Source organism: Homo sapiens, chromosome 10 (assembly GCF_000001405.40).
Source record: "Homo sapiens chromosome 10, GRCh38.p14 Primary Assembly".
NCBI classification, from domain to species: domain Eukaryota; kingdom Metazoa; phylum Chordata; class Mammalia; order Primates; family Hominidae; genus Homo; species Homo sapiens.
The window spans coordinates 42149732-42169683 of NC_000010.11; the positions used below are offsets into that span (position 1 = coordinate 42149732).

The 19952-nt window shown below is 35.6% G+C and overlaps 4 annotated features.

Annotated features, from left to right (window-relative positions):
• Positions 16025–17012: an enhancer, noted in NCBI's record as "OCT4-NANOG hESC enhancer chr10:42661204-42662191 (GRCh37/hg19 assembly coordinates)". NCBI's record gives its function as "activates a minimal SCP1, AML or CMV promoter by ChIP-STARR-seq in primed H9 embryonic stem cells {active_cell/tissue: H9 hESC(primed)}" and the evidence as "EXISTENCE:reporter gene assay evidence [ECO:0000049][PMID:30033119]".
• Positions 17838–18357: an enhancer, noted in NCBI's record as "OCT4-NANOG hESC enhancer chr10:42663017-42663536 (GRCh37/hg19 assembly coordinates)". NCBI's record gives its function as "activates a minimal SCP1, AML or CMV promoter by ChIP-STARR-seq in primed H9 embryonic stem cells {active_cell/tissue: H9 hESC(primed)}" and the evidence as "EXISTENCE:reporter gene assay evidence [ECO:0000049][PMID:30033119]".
• Positions 18358–18877: an enhancer, noted in NCBI's record as "OCT4-NANOG hESC enhancer chr10:42663537-42664056 (GRCh37/hg19 assembly coordinates)". NCBI's record gives its function as "activates a minimal SCP1, AML or CMV promoter by ChIP-STARR-seq in primed H9 embryonic stem cells {active_cell/tissue: H9 hESC(primed)}" and the evidence as "EXISTENCE:reporter gene assay evidence [ECO:0000049][PMID:30033119]".
• Positions 18878–19396: an enhancer, noted in NCBI's record as "NANOG hESC enhancer chr10:42664057-42664575 (GRCh37/hg19 assembly coordinates)". NCBI's record gives its function as "activates a minimal SCP1, AML or CMV promoter by ChIP-STARR-seq in primed H9 embryonic stem cells {active_cell/tissue: H9 hESC(primed)}" and the evidence as "EXISTENCE:reporter gene assay evidence [ECO:0000049][PMID:30033119]".

Genomic DNA, 19952 nt, shown 5'->3' on the forward strand with positions numbered 1-19952 from the left:
GCGGGGTGAAAAAGCCTCAGCGGTAAAAACCTGCCGCAGCGGCAGTAAAAAGCCGCATGGGCAAGAAGCCATGGCGGCGGGGAAAAAGCCACGGTGATGGCAAAAAGCCGCGGCGGCGGGGGCAAAAAGCCGCAAAAAGCCGCGGCGGCGGGCGCAAAAAGCCGCAATGGTGGGGGCAAAAAGCCGGGGCGGTGGCGGAAAAAGCCGGGGCGATGGGGGCAAAAAGCCGTGGCGGCGGGGGCAAAAAGCTGCGGTGATGGGGGCAAAAAGCCGTAAAAAGCCACAGCGTCGGGGGCAAAAAGCCGCGGTGGCGGGTGTAAGAAGCCGCGGCGGCAAAAAGATGCGGCGGCCGGGACAGAAAGCCGCGGCGGCGGGGGCAAAAAGCAGGGGTGGCAAAAAGTCACGGCGGCGGCGGGGGAAAAAAGCCGCGGCAGGAAAAACCTGAGGCGGCGGGGGAAAAAAGCCGCTGCGGCGGGGACCAAAAGCCCCAAAAAGCCGCGGCATCGGGTGCCAAAAGCCGCAAAAAGCCACGGCGAAGGGGCTAAAAAGCCGCAAAAAGCCGCGGCAGAGGGGGCAAAAAGCAGCGGAGGCAAAAGGCCACGACGGCGGGGGCATGAAACCGCAAAAACCCTCGGCGGCAGGGGCAGAAAGCCGCAACGGCGGGGGCAAAAATCAACGGGGGCAGGTGCAAAAAGCCGTGGCGGCAGGGGCAAAAAGCAACGGGGGCGGGGGCAGAAAGCCGCGGCGAGGGGGGCAAGAAGCCGCGGCGGCAAAAACCCATGGCGGCGGGGGCAAAGAGCGGCTGAGGTGATAAAAAGCTGCGGCGGCGGGGGCAGGAAGCCGCGTAGGGGGCAAGGAGCCGCGGCGGAGGGGGCAAAAAGCAGCAAAAAGCCCAGGCGTAGGGGCAAGAAGCCGTGGCAGGAAAAACCTGCGGCTGGCGGGGGGAAAAAGCCGCAGCGGCGGGGGCGAAAAGCTGTAAAATGCCGCGGTGGCGGGGGCCAAAAGCCGCGGCGGCAAAAAGCCACATAAAGCCGGGGCGGCGGGGCAAGAAGCCGCAGCGGGAGAAACCTGCGGCGGCGGGGGCAAAAAGCCGTAAAAAGCTGCGGTGCTGGGGGCCAAAAGCCATAAAAAGCCGCGGTGGAAAAAGTCGCGGTGGCGGAGGAAAAAAGCCGCAAAAACCGCGGCAGCGAGGGCAAAAAGCCGTGGCTTCCGGAGCAAAAAGCCGTGGCGGCGGGGGCAAAATAGTGGAAATGGTGTAGAAGGCCAGCACAGCTTGGCATTCCTGGAGTGTTATGTGGAAGGAAAAGTGCAGAGGAAGACAAACAAAGATGTAAGTAGGCTTGACTCAGTGCAACTAAGAACCCAGATGTTATCTATCAGCTAATTTTTTGTATTTTAGTAGAGAAGGGGTTTTACCACGTTGGCCAGGATGGTCTCAATCTCCTGAACTCATGATCCGCGCACCTCAGCCTCCCAAAGTGGTGGGATTAGAGGCATGAACCACAAAGTGCTCAAAAAATCTATTAATTAAAAAATGTGTATGTAGCCATCTTTAATCTACCATGTCCATTAGCAGATAAGTACTATAAGCAAAATAACAACAATGAAAGAAACATTGACTTAGAGTAGATACTCTGATTTATTTAATAAAAATTTGAAAATAGACCAAATTATGACAAAAAAAAAATCTGTTACTATTGAGGATGAGGGTTAGTGTTTGGAAAGGGGCAGGAGAAGTATCTCTATTTTTAGTAATGTTCTATTTTCATACATGGTTATAAGCAAATACATGTGTTTCATTAATCAAGCTATCTATATTTAATCATTGTACTTTTCTGCATGTATGATATATGTCAATAAATGTCTTAAAGTATATACAGCAAAAATAGACAAAACCACAAGAAGACATACACAAATGTTAAACCTAGAGAGAAATTTGAATATAAGTAAGTCTCTGAATGACTGGTAGAACAAACCGAAAAATAGGATGGAGAGGTTTGGAACAGCATGATTAGCAAAATTGACATATCTGTCTTTTAATATAGGCAGAAACATAGTTAGATAAAAAAAGGACTTGTCTCGGAGCATGATTTCTGAAAACAGTGGAATCGAGTTTGAATCTAGTAAGTACATATAAATAAATGTCTTAAAACTCCTCTTATGTTAGCTAATTAAGAAACACTATTGTAATAGACATTAGAAAATATTTTAATAAATTGAGTGGATTTCACACGCTAAGGAAATGATCTTACTTGCATTTGATAGTTCAATTAGATACATATATACCTATAGGTAGTTTAAAATATTTCTAATAACCTTATATACTTTTAAAAAGCATTGATATCTGTTTGCACTATATGGTCTATAGAGTACACATACCAAACATGATTATAGCTCTTCTGCTATAAACTTCAAATGTCTAATTAATACAAAAATCTAGAATGAGAAGAGTTCTTTGCATTTTTTTTTATCAAATAGAATATAGGAAAGATAGCTGCAAATATACCTGACACACTTATCTGTGAGTATGGTGGTAGCCTTTTTATTTTATTTTATTTTGAGAGAGGGTCTCACTTTGTCACCCAAGATGGAGTGCAGTCATGTGATCAGAGCTCACTGAAGCCTTCACATACTGTGCTCAAGCGATTCTCCTACCTCAGTCTCCTGAGTAGCAGGGACTGCAAGTGCATGACACCATACTAGCTAATTTTTGTAAAGATGGGGTTTCACCATGTTGCCCTGGCTGATCTCCATCTCCTGGACTCAAGAGATCTGGCCACCTTGGCCTCCCAAAGTGCTGGGATTATAGTTTTGAGGCACCACAATCAGCCCAGCCTTAAAAAAGGCTGACTAGAGATCTTTATCTATGTATATCTATATCTATCTATAAAATAAACATATGTGCTTCTTATATAAAAATATATATTATTAATATTATATAAAATTTTTTTCAAGGTAGAAATATATAAAGAGGGTGCATGTAGAGCCTGGGGCATTGTGTAGTGAAGCTCAAGGCCTCTGAAGAAATGCCCCTTGCCTCTTTTGTCTGGGCTAGAATCCGAGAAGGGAAAGCAGCAGATGCACTGGTTCCCAGGTTCTTGGCATCCTACAGAGAGAAACTTGTTTGAGCTAGGGTAGCGTTAAACACCCTTGTTCTTACTCTCCTGTTTTATATAGTGAGCAGAGACTAGCTTCATGAGAACAGACTGTGACAGTCAAGGCTGTCTGATATTTTGTGCAGCATTAATTGAGAAATTCTAGCACCTGAAGAACTCTGGGCCATTTGAGGGTAGGTGCAGGGGAGGAAAGGGAAGTTTGCATCCCTCCTGCTGTGGAGAGAACCCGTGGGAAGCACAGACCTTGTCCTAACTGAAGGCAGACCACCTTGCTAACCAGCTTCTCATCAGCCAACCCTGGATGAGTTTCTATGTCTATTTACTAAATAATCCTTATTGCTTTTCTTCATATGGGCAAAGTATGGTTTACAGGGAATATTGTTCCTTTGAACACCCATCATGGAAAACCCTTCCTGTTGTGGGAAACCAGGCTTCCATATGTGTATTATTGGGAAACACATAGGCAATTTCTATGTTTTTACTGCATCTATTTCAGGGATATGGGAACTGAATAGTGCCCATCAAAGGCTCACCTGATGTTGGAAATTGATCTGAGAGCGCGGAAGGACAGAATTCTTTCTTTGTTCCTGGGCAGCGGTGGTTGAGGGATCATTTTGTGGCAGCTACAGTGGCAATGATGGAGGCATAATGGCGGGCTCAGTACCAAGACAAGGAGAGACTTGGCCTCACAATGGCAGCATTGCAGGGGTGCGCTCTACAGAACATTTGCTCACATGGTTTTGGGCATTGTCTCTAACTACATTGCTTCCCCAATAGGTTGACCCATTCTAACTAACTCCTTTTCTCTTTAAAAAAGCAAACTTCATTTGTATGACTTGCAATTGTAAACGACACCAATTGGCCAGTTATCATTCAAATTCTCTGTTACTTAATCCTGCCTTTTCCTGACGTATGCAACTTTCCCCTAAAAAATTGGACACTTTGTTGCTTACTCATTGTCTTTACACATTTTAAAATGTTGCTTTATGCCCCCAATCCCTAACTACATTTTCAATGTTTTGCAAGTGGAGTCCAGGTGTTCTTGATTTACATGAAGCTCAAAATAATGGTTATAGTAAGTAGTACTTCATAATTAAGCAAAAAGCTCTTATTGAAAAATGACAGAACTATACATAGGGATGACAACATGGAGAGATATTTCGTGAGATCACAAAGTTATGGTATGGCAGAAGTAGAATGCTGAATAGAGACTCTGTGTTCCCAATCATTATTTCTACCACCAGCTTTCTATTTTGATGTTAATAATGTTCTTATGTGGGAAACCCTACATATTTGCCAATGTTTAGTTCATTGACAAAGAAATAGAAAGAGCTTCAAGAACACTCTAATATTTAAAAAATAAAATGTCTATAATTGGCCATACGAAAAAATTGGTACTTGACATATACTGAGATCGTTTTATTTTGTGCTAGACAAATGAAGTCATAGAACAGAATGTGCTTTAAATATTATGAATAGTGCTTGCATGTGTGCGTGTGTGTGTGTGTCTATAGATGCATATTAGGCCGTTGAAAAGTTTTATTATTCTTTCGAGGAGAGAGACTGCCAACTTTTGAACCTAACTAGAACAAGTATATTGCTTCTTCATATTTTGATTAAGGCAAAGAGAATCTAGTTAAAAATAATTCAACTTATCGTGGAAATGCTATAAATTGCTGTGAAGTGAGTTGCTGGTTATGGCTTGTCAGAGCAAATATATTGTACAAATCTTAGGGGAGAATTAGTGCTTATACATTCAAATCAAATCATCTTGCAGCAGACTGAGAAAAACGTTAGATTTTTAAAATAATTTCAAAGTCATGAAAAGAGCAAATATGCTCCACAAAGAGCCTAGCAACCCTCAATGACCAATGCCCCTTTAATATAGTTTGGTATCTGAATTAGAATCCCAGAATCTACAAATACCTCTGGGTGTGGGTGCTGCATTTTGAGGATTTTATAACACTGCCATCACCAAGCTCTCTTTTGATATTCACTTTAAGGAGATAATTTACGGGCAACCAGAGAGCATAAACCAAAGTAGATATCTATCTAGATAGATAGATACATCTCCATATCATTGACAGGATACATTCTAGCCGAGTGTGAGTACAATCTATGGATGTGGTTGGAGAGAACATGTGTTCCACCTGAGTGGCAGATCAGGATTATTCCTTCTCATCTGCTGCAATGGCTCAATGTGTTAAGGAGAGGAGCGAGACAGCAAGAACTGCATTCATTCAGTCATACAGACCAAAAGGAGGAATGTCGCCCAGCCCTCTAAACTGACCCAGAACCCAGCTCATGTCTCAACTGCTACCTCTACTACTTAGAAAGAAGTAACTCCACTAAAGCAGGGTTCTGGACAAATATATTTTTATTGATCATATACAAATAGATGAAGATGGACTTGGATGTTAAGAAAAATAATGCTATACAAAATCGAGAGTAGAGAGTCGCCCCTAGACTTAAATTAAGGGTGTGTACATTAGATAATTTAATCCAATCTATCAGGTAAAAACTTGAACAAACCTTTTGGCCTCTTCCTTAAAATTCAGGGAAGTATGTCCTCCACAAAACAGAATCAAAATATAAATAAAAGACTGGCTTAAGATGAAAATAAACCTTACAAATGAAAAGCCAGATGAGAGGCACTTAACTGAGAATGAAAAGAAACTGAGCGGACAAAATAATTATGAGAAGATGAACCTTCAAATCAGAAAGAGGGAAAAAAGCTTATTTGATACTATGAGAACTCAAAAGAGAGTGAACACAAGTGTGAAAATTCCAAGAGTAAAGAAAAGTAGCATAACTAAATTAAGAGCATGAGAAAATGTGTACAATTTTGAGTAATAAGAGCGGAAATCCAAAGTACCTATTGTATGTGATATTTTAGTAGAGCAACACTGAAGAAGAATGAAAACAAGAAATAATATTAAATATGAACATATGGAGAACAGAATAATATTTTTAAATTTTTTAGTTTCTAAGCTTATCTGAAATTTTAATTTTGGTTTCTTATATAATACCAGAGTTATTAGGAAGTTATTAGCTAATAACACTATTTTCAGTGATATTTTAAGTATTTGTCCTAGAAAAATTTCTATTTTTGAAAAATGTATATTTAAAAATACATTAAATGTGTATATACATCAATCATATGTATCGATTTATGTTTTTCTTTAATTGCAAATGAAATTTGTATTTTTGTGTTCCTGGAATAAAATAAACTTGAATGGATTGTAATATATTATTCATGCTGTAATTCAACGTATTTGAATTCTTTAAGAATGTTACATTTATAGTTAACAGATATTGATTTTCTGTCATAATGATGTTGTGAGACAATCTAAGAGGAATTAAAATTTAAATTCATGTATTCCTCCTTTTTCCTCTGTTCTCTAACTGTAATATATTTTAATTACAGATGGAGGAACAGATAGATGTTAGATAAATAGGTATATAATATATAGATCATCCAAAATTCTTATTCTTATGGTTTTATGTAGTCAGTATTTACCTCTATTTTTCTGCATGTTTATCATTCCAATTTAGTTCATTACTTCCTGCACCTTTGATGTCATATATATAAACAGGAAATAACACATGGTGGCCGGGATGTAGAGAGAGCCACAGGACTTGTGAATAAAATCCACAGGCAAGGATGTGGCGATTCCTTTTGCAATATTGGAGGGAATGCCAAACCCTATGTTTGCTGTGGAAAAGAGTATGTTAGTTCCTCAAAACATCAAAATGGTATTGCCATATGATTCAGCAGCTCCACATCTCAGGATAGCAAAAGAAATGAAAGCAGAGTCTTGAAAAAATATTTACACATCCATATTTGCAGCAGCATTATTGGCAATAGCTAAAACGTAGAAGCAATTGAAGTGTCCAACAACAGATGAATGGATAAGCAAAATATGATATATACATACAATGGAATATTATTCAGTCTTAAACATGAGGGAAATATTCTGACATATGTTGCAACTTGGATGAAACTTGAGAATATTATGCCAAGTGAAATAAGTTAGTCAGTGAAGGACAAATACAGTATAATTCCATTTGTATAAGGAACTTAAAGTGGACAGAGTCACAGAGATAGTACAATGATGGTTGCCAGAAGCTGGGGGGAGGAAGACATGGGGAAGTATTGCTTAATGAGTATAGAGTTTCAGTTTCACAAGATGAAACGAGTTATGGAGATGGATGGTGGGGATGGCTGCACAATGTTATGACTATATTTAGTACCACTGAACTGTGCACTTAAAATGGTTAACAGAGTACATTTTATGTTATGTGTATTTTACCACAATAAAAAAATAAAATACCTTAGGAACATTTTCCTGAAAGAGTCCACATAAAATTCATTTTAATGCATGTGTTTATGCATAGATTTCTATTTTTCTCTTTTCTATTTATATTCCAAATTAGAATATAATGCTAATCAATCATAGTGGCTGTGTTTCTTCCTTCCTCTAGTCTGCAAGTAGCAAGCAAATGTAATAAACTACTTATTCATGTCACACCTATTTATTTTCTGCCTTATACCAAGCTTGTGGGATTCTATTAAATACAACATTTTTATACGTACACCTATGCAATACCCATTAGCATCGCCTTCCTAAATCAGGGGAAATTGAGTGTCTGTAAGGTGCGGTAACTTACTAAGATACAAAACTCAGCATTAAAGTCTGTATACTTCAATATCCTGCCCTCTTCTCATTTGTCTTTACTGCCTTTTATGTATGTGTTAGATGTTCAATAAATACTCTTTTTTAAACTGAATTTAAGCCGTGGAGCAGTGTTTTGTTGAACAATAAATATGATATTGGACACTCTTTCTCCCTTTCATTTATGATGCAGTTCATGAAAAAGAGAAATTCTTTCATTGTGCTAGAAGCTTAAAATAATGAAAATGCCACTTTCTACATTAAACAGAAACTGAAGGGAAACAAGATGAATTGGATGAGACATAGAAAACAAGTGGGAAAGAAATCTAGTATAATTTCCCCTTTGTGCACCTTTGTTATTTAGCATTTGAGAAAATGTTTCCCCCAAATATCTTCCCATCTTAATTCATGTCTATAAAGTAGACATTTATGTCTCACCTTGTCAAGAAGGGCAAACTCTAACATAAACATTTCCCAAAAATGCTTCCTGCTAAAACGTAAGCTCAGTCTGGCTAGAAATTAAGCTCATTCATAAAAATTAGTTGGCAGCTAATCTTTGCATGCTGTTCTCTGAACTTGAGTGAAAGCTGTCCATCAGGCATACAGGGAATGACGGAAAAGGTGACAACAGAAGATGAATGCTATGTCACTAACCTTCAAAGACGACCTTCCTTTTCTTTCAAATTCTTGATATCTTAAGACTTCATTAATTCATCTTTCTTTGCCCTTGGTTCAACATTGTGCTATACCAAAACTCATGTAAAACAATGATCTATTGTAATAAAAATGGCATTTTTCTTTCATGTAGATGCAAGCTATCTGGCATTTTTACAATCAACATACTTCCGTTGTTAATTTTTCATTCTGTATTGGCAGTAATTGATAGGTATTTCTGAAGGGATGAAGGTGTTTCTGTGTTCATTGAGATCCAAACTTTTTTAGACCTAGTGGTGTTTGTAAAACAATTTGTGCCAGCTGACAAAGGACCACTGTGGCAGAAAGCAGCAAACTTGCATAAGATGTCACTGCCTCATCAGTTGGCTTTGAAAACTAGGGGCTTACTCTATAGTCCTATGAATCAAAGACATTGATTGATGTAGTATAAGATTACAATCATATTTTCCTTTTGACAGTCATATTATAAGGCATGATGTATTGCAATTAATCTCAATTAGCTGATCACAATTAAAATTAATAATGTTTATTATTGCTGATAAACAATCATGACTCTCCTGTTCTCAAATGTGCAAGTAATTCTTGTAATTTTAATACAAATTTGCATATTATTACTAATTGATTTAATCTCATTGTATTTGGTTCATGGATCCAATTTATTAAAATATTGATAATGGGGCAATGATTTGTCTCCCCATTTCATTTACACTAAAAGACACAATTCGTACAATGGTCTGCAAGCCCATCATGATCTGCCGCATTTGTTACTGAGTTAAAACAATTTTTCTATATTCAAGATACATATTTATACAGACATATAGATATGTGTTTTTCAAATATCTTCTCACAATTTTTGAGCTGCCTTTTGACTTGCTTGGTTGTCCTTTGAAACACCAATGTCTTTAATTTTTAAGAAATGTTAAATAACTAATTTTTATTTTGTTGATCATGTTTTTGGTGTTACAGCTATTTCTTTGCTAGATCCAAAATCCTGAAGATTTTCCCATAAGCTTTATTCTAGCTCTTGCATGTATATCTTTAATTCATTTAAGTTAATATTTTTGTATGCTTTGGGGTAAGGATTCCAATTTATTATTTTGCAAGTGGCGATCCACGTGTACGTTGTTGACAGAGTTTGTTCAAAGAAGGTCTCTTCCTCATTGAATTGCACATGGCACCACTGTAAGAATCCATTGACTATAGATACATAGTTTTATATATGGACTCTCAATTCTCTTCCATCAATCTATATATTTTTCCTTCATCAGTATTGTGTTGTCTTGATTACTGATGCTTTGCCATAAGGTTTGGAGCATGGGGGTGTGAATTATCCTAACATGTTTTCTTTTTTCAAGACTATTTTGGCTATTTTAAGTCCCTTACAATTCCACGTGTATTTTAGAATCAGCTTGTAAGTTTCTAGACAGAAATCTGTTGGGATACTTGCAGGGATTACGTCAAATCTGTAGTTCAACTTGTAAAGTACTACAATATTAAATCTTCCAATTCATGGCTGTAAGATATTTGCTAATTATTTAGATCTTCTTTAAACAATAATTTTTAATTTTCAGAGTAAAATCTTATATCACATTTTCCAAATTAATTATTATTTCTTTTTTTGATGCTATTGTAAATTGAAGTGTTTTCTTAATCTCATTTTAGGGTTTTCATTGTAGATGTGTGCAATTGATTTTTGTATATTTATCTTGTATGCTGTAATATTGCTGAAGTAATTAACTAGTTCTATCGTTCAGTGGATTCCTTAAAATTTTCTATATACAAGAATGTTATTTGCAAATAAAGTTTTATTTCCTCCTGTTCAATATGGGTGACTCTTATTTCTTTACTTGCCGATTTGCCCTGCATAAAATCTTCAGTACAGTGTTGACTAGAAGAGGTCAAAGTACGTATCCTATTCTTATCTCTGACCATAGCGGGAAAGTATCCTTTCTTTTACCACTAAGTTGAATATTTGCTTTTGGCTTTTCACAGGTGCCATGTATCTGGTGTAGAAAGTACTCTATTCCTGGCTCATTGAGTTTTTATTTTTATTTTTAATCATTAAAGCATTTGGATTATGTTAAATGTCTTTTCTGAATCTATCGAGATGATCATGAAATTCTTGTTTCTTATTCTATGGATAAGATGTATTACCTTAATGGATTTTGGGCTGTTAAATCATCCTGAGATTACTAGTATAAATATCACTTTGTCATAGTGCATAATTCTTTTACATGTTGCTAGATCTGATTTGTTAGTAGTTTTTAAGGAATTTTGCATTTATACTTATAGTAGTTTTATTTTTCTATGCTATTTGGACTAATTTTTGTATCAAGGTAACACTGGCCCCACAGAATAAATTGGGAAGTGAATATTTCTCTTTTTAAAAAAAGTTAGTCAAGAATTAATATCAATTAGTCAATACTAACAAATATGATCAATATTATAAATTATTAATTTCTCTAATTTTTATTTTCTTCCTTCTGCTTGCTTTAGGTTTAGTTTGCTATTTTTTCCATTGCCTTTATGTGGAAGGTCATCTTATCTCATCCTTTCCTTTGTCTTTTCATTTTCGAAATAGTGTCTTTTTTGCATCAGGTGAGCTCCCCAGGTTGGTAGTACTCCATGTTTATTGCTGTACAACAATGACAGGTAATATGTCCTGAAGACAATGGAAACTTAACATTCAAAATCCTCCTAGATTTCACCTTATGTGATATGTCTTTTCCTTTGATTGGTCCAATTTCTACCCTTTCTCTATTATAAACCATGAGTACAATGGCATTCAATGAGTTCTGTGAGTCTTTCTAGTAAATTCTTGAAACTGAGGGTGTTCTGGGGAAACCCTGATCTGGCAGTTGGTGTCAAAAGTGCGAATCGTCTTATATGGCCTCTTCCTTTGAACTTTGCATCTGGACCCAAACTCTGCACAATTTGGGCCAGCAGTCTCGTGTTGACTTTGCAGCCTAAATTATCTTGTAGTTTGTCTAATCCTCAAAAATTTGCTTTCATCAAATATTGTATTTGTTACCCCAAAATTACCATCATGTATTTTTCTCCAAATAACTAACATTAGGAGAAATAGCCAGCTGAATCTGTAACTCAACAGAAACAAGTGATCCATATACCATATAAGTGGCCATTTCATTTTGCCTCCTTCCACCAAATCTTAGCAACCTCAACCATTGCCGTGAGCCACTGTAGGCCTACCATCTACAAACCAACAAGTATCTTTTAAAAACACTTCATGCTCCCATTTGATAAATTTCCCAGCAAAGGGATGCTTACTTTAACTCTATGCAAGTGGCTCATACTCGCAAAGTCTGCAGATATTATTCATGTAGTGTGAGAAAATCATCCCAGAGATGCCAGCACATTCTCCTACCCATGATCTGCTTAGTTTGCAAACATATTCAGGCCATGGGTGAGAGATTTGTATTTCACAGTACAACAATTTTATGGAGGACATTGAAACTTAGATTGAGCATTTTAGTACAGTCACACATCACTGAGTGATAGGGATACGTTCTAACAGATGCATCCATAGGCAATTTCATCATTTTGCAAACGTCAGAGAGAATATTACAAACACCTAGTTTGTACAGCCTACCATGTCTGGTTATATGGTAGAGCCTCTCTCTCCTAGGCTACAAACCTGTGTACTACATTACTGTACTGAATATTGCAGGCAATAAGAACACAGTGGTAAGAAGTTATGTATCTAAACATACTTAAACATAGAAAAGTATGTAAAAATGTGTATTATAATCTCATGGGAACACTTTTGTATATGCAATCCATCTTTGACTGAAATGTTATTATGCATGACATGACTCTATGACAAAAATAAAATAGTACATTTTTTAAAATGTACAAATGTATCAAACATATTATAAAACTAAAAATATTTATTCAGTGTAAGAATTTGTAATGATCACAAAATGTTCACAGCTTATATTTAAGTACAGTTTCAAATGCCTAGTGCAATTACTATTTATTTCTTTTTGTATTTTAAACATGTATATAATAAACATTTTTCAGGTTCAGCAATATATATCAATCCTACAGGCTCTTATAAATATTAGTTAAAATCAATTGGTAAATTCATGTGTATATACGCATACCTGTATCAGTGAGCATGTGTGCATGTATGTTTGTGTAAACGTAATTATATGTGTGTGTAAATGTAATTGGATGCATCCTTATATTTACCCTTACCTGCAAGATTTCCAAGATTCATTTATTATCTTTAGATGATGGGCATTTAAAGATTTACCAAATACAACGGTAATAGTGGAAAATATCAAGATGTTATTAAATTCATCTTGTGCAATAATTATTTCTATAAATTTATGTTTCTTGTAAAACTTGCAGTAATGCTCATGCACAAAATAATTTTCTAAATAAAAAATAAAAACGTTTTCTCAGTCATTAATTCTTAAAATTATTTCTCCCCAATAATTAATGTGAATTAATTCTTAATTCTTAATTATAGAATAATGTTGCCCTTCAGAGTTCGGAAACTTTTACATGTTGTACACATTTCACTAACCAGAACAACTTCTGAAATATTGGCATTAATTAATGTCACTCAGCAATTATTGATTTCAAAGGCATTAAATACCATTCATATTCTGAATCACAAGGGTACTTTGGCATCTTTTTTAATCAAGCTCTCTGTATCATCATCTACACTTTAATTACTTAACAAACATTTCTCTGTATGAGAAAGATTGAGCAGGTTATTGTGCTTTTTTAAGATACAACTTTTGCTTAATCTAGAGATAGGCAATGCTCCCTATAAGGGACAAAGAGAAAAATAAATGAGCAATAGAGATGCGACAGGCATGGAAAAAGACACTACATTTATCAAACAAATAGGTCCCATAAAGTTTTGAGTCAATTAGAATATGTTTGTATCAGTCTGTCTACAGTTTTACACCTGTCAAAATGTACTTGAACTACAACAACTACCCTGAACAATTTTGAAATGTATGATTCCTCTGAAACTGATTAAAAGAATTATGGTAGAGTGAAATTCTGATTGACATAATTTGGGAGAGAAATTATTCCTTGGACATCAACCTCTGCCAAGATAGTTTATAATGACATTGAGACTTTTTGATTTACAAAATTTGTTATATAAAAAATACTAAGACGATGGCAGATAATACACAGAATTTAATTAAAATTGTACTACAATTAAATGTCTAAATAAATTAGAAGGGTACATGGTACATCTAATTGTATGTTTATATATTTTATTTGTGCATTTTTTTCCTAGGGTTGCTTTTGCTTTAGTTTGTAAAACGTTCTTATTTTTATGATAATGTAGCACATACTAAATAAAGAAAAATCAGGAAATAGAAAATGAAGAAAACATTAGTTATTGTCAACCAAATAAAAATTGTGCAATCTCTAAGCACATGAAGTATGTATTATTTGTACAGCATGTAGAACGTTTATGCTTCACAGCGTGAGGTAGAGACTGCAAAACCTTGAACTTGGGACAAATAAGAAAGTAAGGAAATTTTCACAACATATTAATATTATAGAAAATGTTGAACTTAACAGTTAAGGTACAAGTAGTGAAAAATGATAGTATTTAAGGAGATCTAGAAAATTTAATCTATACCTGTAATGTGTGAGAAGTATTAGAATAATGCTTGTATTTCTGGATTTGCATCAATTTCTATTGAGACTGGAAACATAATAGAAGTGAGGGAAAAAGAATTTAAATTGTGGATACTTGAGTTTTATACCTAGGAGTTCGAGAAATACATTTTGTTACTATCAAAGCAGTTGGCACAAGAGTGTACAAAATTCCCTAATTGTGTCTATGTGGAGAAGACATAGACAAACAGAGAATAGTAAAACAGAAATAGCAAAAAAGCACAAACAAATTTTACCTGTAATTTTAAGTAAAAGCCAATTAGAGAAGGAAAACATGAAATTTGTGTTTTATCAAAATTTTTCTCTTTCTCATAATGCAGTTGAATATATTACTGGAAAAAAATTGAAGCACTGGTATGTTCACAAAAAAAGTAAAATATAAGGTCAAAACCATGGGAATGCAGGGAGCAGACAAAATATAACTAAACACCGAAACTGATTTTGCCTTATGGACGTGTACCAAAATGAATGAGTGCAGATTCCTACTGTCATACATCACATAAGACAGTAAAGAAATACATAGTTTTTCCCAAGATAGAGCATCACACAGGAGCTCCTCCCTAAAGCTAGGACCAAAATTTATATCCTGAGTATAAAGAAGAATCAGAGGTAAATTAGTCCCATTTCACATTCCCTGGAAATGGCAAATAAAAATGACTTGAGATTGGACAGATTTAAAGAAACTCAATCACTAATGATTTAGAGCAAGTAATTTAAAAATTGTTTAAATGTGCAACCCAAACATACGTCCAAATCCCTTTAGGCCAAGAATTAACATAATGTGGTCCCAGAATGGTGGTGCCTTTAGTAGAATCACAAAAAAATTCAAATTCTCTTTGGCAAATTTTCTACTTACAAATCCTCAAAAGTGCACAAAAATAATTTTCAGAGAAAAATAAATATTTGTCATTCAAAGGCATCTAAGTATGCAAGGAAATGATATTCCACCATTTGAAAGGAAAGCAGAAAAGGAGTACAAACAGATCCACAAAGGTTCCTTAGTAGATCTATCACTTAGATTATAAAGCACATTTGCTTTCAAAAATTTTTTTAAAAAAGAATATATTGTTAGGAGACTAAAAAATTGATGTAGCAAATTTGAAAAGAAGTTTGTATAAAAATATAGTTATTTTAAATTAAAAACTCAAAAATGAACTCATCAGATTAGACATGACTATGGTGAGAGTTCATAAATATTTCAGAATGCATTACAGAAAATTTAAAAAAAAGGAAAATGTGGACAGAATGATGAAGAGACATGGAAGATACAGTGAGAAAGTGTAGCATGTGTTTAGTGAGTGTTCTCATAGAAGAAGGGAACTGGGAAGGGACAATATGTGATGATATTTTGGGTGAAAGTTCTCTAGACTTTTGTAAGACACTAATCTGCATATTCAAAAATTCTATGCATGCTAAGCAAGCTATAATGGAGATAAACCTACACCTATGTATCTCCTAGAGAAATAGTAAACAACCAGGAAGGGAAAAATATTTCAATTAGCACTAGAAAAATGAAATTACTTTTAGTTATATTGAAATCTGAAAAAATGAAAGGTAAAATAAACAATATTATTTGCTAAGAATAATAATGCCATTCTGAAATTCTCAACGAAGAAAAATATTCATCAACCTATGGCTAAATAACATATTTAGAGACAGAAAACAAAATGCCACCAGCAGAATTCCACTAAAGAAACTAAAGAGAATCTCTGAAAATATTCTTCAGAAATGTTGAAGTTCTGAAATCAAAGAGTGAACACAGAGCAAAATATATTGTAAACATACAGATAGATCTAAATAAAAAATTAGGTGTTGAAACAAAAATATATTTAAAATTAGATAATCACTGCAATATGTATGTTAGGAAGAAAATTATTAGGGCTGGAGTATTCAAAGAACCCTTAACTGTCTGACAAGAACAGAAAAGTGAGTATGACTTTGCAACTCTTTTTCTTTTTCGAATGGAATGGAATGGAATTGAATCTAATGGAATTGAATGGAGTGGAGTGGAATGGAATGGACTGGGAGCTGAGATTGTGCCATTGCGCTACAGGCTGGGTGACAGAGTGAGACACTCTCAAAAGAAAGGAATGGAATGGAAAGCAGTGGAATAGAATGGAATGGAATGGAATGGAATGGAATGGAATGGAATGGAATGGAGTGGAGTGGAGAGGAGTGGAACGGAGTGGAATGGAATCGGATGTAATGGAATATAGTGGAATGGAATGGAATGGAATCATCATCAAATGGACTCAAATGGAATTATCATCGAAAGGAATCATCATCGAATGGAATCGAATGGAGTCATCCTCGAATGGAATCGAAAGGAATCATCATCAAATGGACTTGAATGGAATCATCATCGAATGGACTCGAATGGAATCATCATTGAATGGAATTGAATGGAATAATTGAATGGAATCGAATGGAATCATCATTGAATGGAATCGAATGGAATCATCCTCAAATGGAATCGAATGGAATCATCAATGAATGCACTTGAATGGAGTCATTATCAAATGTACTCAAATGAAATCATCATCGAATGGAATCGAATGGAATCATCATCAAATGGAATCATCATCGAATGGAATCGAATGGAATCATCATTGAATGGAATCAAATGGAATCATCAAATGGAATCGAATGGAATCATCGAATGGAATTGAATGGAATCATCATCGAATGAAATCAAATGGAATCATCATCGAATGGAATAGAATGCAATCATCAAACGGAATCAAATGGAATCATCATCGAATGGAATTGAATGGAATCATCCAATGGAATCAAATGGAATAATCATCGAATGGAATCATTGAATGGAATCAAATGGAATCATCAAATGGAATCGAATGGAATCATCATCCAATGGAATTGAATGGAATCATGGAAGGGAATCGAATGGAATCATCATTACATGGAATCGAATGGAATCATCATCACAAGGAATCGAATGGAATCATCATTAAATGATATCGAAAGGAAACATCGAACGGAATCGAATGGAATAAATCAAATGGAATCGAATGGAATCATCATTGAATGGAATCGAATGGAATCATCCAATGGAATCAAATGGAATAATCATCGAATGGAATGGAATGGAATCATCATCGAATGGAATCAAAAGGAATCATCAAAAGGAATTGAATGGAATAATCATTGAATGGAATCGAATGAAATCCTAGAATGGAATCGAATGGAATCATCGAATGGAATCAAATGGAATCATCAATGAATGGAATCGAATGGAATCATGGAATGGAATCTAATGGAATCATTATCACATGGAATCAAATGGAATCATCGAATGGAATTGAATGGAATAATCATCGAATGGAATCGAATGGAGTCATGGAATGGAATAGAATGGAATCATCATCGAATGGAATCGAATGGAATTATCGAATGGAATTGAATGGAATCATCATTGAATGGAATCGAATGGAATCATCATCGAATGGAATCAAATGGAATCATTGAAAGGAATCGAATGGAATAATCATCGAATGGAATCCAATGAAATCCTCGAATGGAAGGGAATGCAATCATCGAGTGGAATCGAATGGAATCATCATCGAATGGAATCGAGTGGAATCATAGAATGGAATCGAATGGAATCATCATCGAATGGAATCGAATGGAATCATCGAATGGAATTGAATGGAACAATTATCGAATGGAATCGAATGCAGTCATCCAATGGAATCGAATGGAATAATCATTGAATGGAAACATCAAATGGAATCGAGTGGAATCATCAAATGGAATCGAATGGTGTCATCATCGAATGGAATCGAATGGAATCATGGAATGGAATCAAATGGAAACATCATGGCATGGAAGCAAATGGAATCATCAAATGCAATCGAATGGAATAGACATCGAATGGAATCATCTAATGGAATCGAATGGAATCATCAAATGGAATCGAATGGTGTCATCATCGAATGGAATCATCTGATGGAATCGAATGGAATCATCATCACATGGAATCGAATGGAATCATCATCAAATGGAATCGATGGGAATCATCAAATGGATCAATGGAATCATCAAAAGGAATCAAAAGGAATCATCTTCGAATGGAATCGAATGGAATCATCACTGAATGGAATCATTATCAAATTGATTTGAATGGAATCATCATTGAATGGAATCGAATGGAATCATCGAATGGAATCAAATGGAATCATCATAGAATGGAATCAAATGGAATCAACGAATGGAATTGAATGGAATCATCATCAAATGGATTCGAATGGAATCACCCAATGGAATCGAATGGAATAATCATCGAATGGCATCATTGAATGGAATCATATGGAATCATCGAATGGAATGGAATGGTGTCATCATCGAATGTAATCATCCAATGGAATCGAATGGAATCATTGAATGGAATCGAATGGAATCATTGAATGGAATCGAATGGAATCATCGAAAGGAATCGAATGGAATAATCATTCAATGGAATCAAAAGGAATCCTCGAATGCAATCAAATGGAATCATCAAATGGAATCAAATGGAATCATCATCAAATGGAATCATGGAATGGAATCGAATGGAAACATCATCACATGGAAGCAAATGGAATCATCAAATGCAATCGAATGGAATAAACATCAAATGGAATCATCGAATGGAATTGAATGGAATCATCGAATGGAATCGAATGGTGTCATCATTGAATGGAATCATCCAATGGAATCGAATGGAATCGAATGGAATAATAGAATGGAATTGAATGGGATCATTGAATGGAATCGAATGGAATCATCATCAAATGGAATCAAATGGAGTCATCCAATGGAATCGAATGAAATCATGATCGAATGGAATAGAATGGAATCATCAGATGGAAACAAATGGAATCATCATCAAATGGAATCAAATGGAATCATCGAATGGAATTGAACGGAATCATCATCGAATGGAATCAAATGGAATCATGAATGAATGGAATCATTATCTAATTGAATCGAATGGAATCATCATCAAATGGAATCAAATGGAATCATTGAATAGAATCAAATGGAATCATCAAAAGGAATCAAATGGAATCATAATCGAATGGAATCAAATGGAATCAACGAATGGAATTGAATGGAATCATCATCGAATGGATATGAATGGTATCATCCAATGGAATCGAATTTAATAATCATCAAATGGAATCATCGAATGGAATTCTATGGAATCATCGAACAGAATCGAATGGTGTCATCATCAAATGGAATCATCCAATGGAATCGAATGGAATCATCGAATGGAATAATTGAATGGAATCGAATGGAATCATTGAATGGAATCATCATGGAATGGAATCAAATGGAGTTGTCCAATGGAATCGAATTGAGTCATCATCACATGGAATCAAATGGAATCATCGAATGGAATTGAATGGAATCATCATCGCATAGAATCGAAAGGAATCATCATCACATGGAATCGAATGGAATCATCATTGAATGGTATCAAAAGGAATCATCGAATGGAATCAAATGGAATCGAATGGAATCATATTTGAATGGAATCGAATGGAATCATCATCGAATGAAATCAAAAAGAATCATCAAATGGAATCGAATGCAATCATCATCGAATGGAATCGAATGGAATCATCATCGAGTGGAATTGAATGGAAACTTCAAAAGGAATCGAATGGAATAATCATCAAATGGAATCAAATGAAATCCTAGAATGGAATTGAAAGGAATCATGGAATGGAATCGAATGGAATTATCATCAAATGGAATCAAATGGAATCATGGAATGGAATCAAATGGCATAATAATCACATGGAAT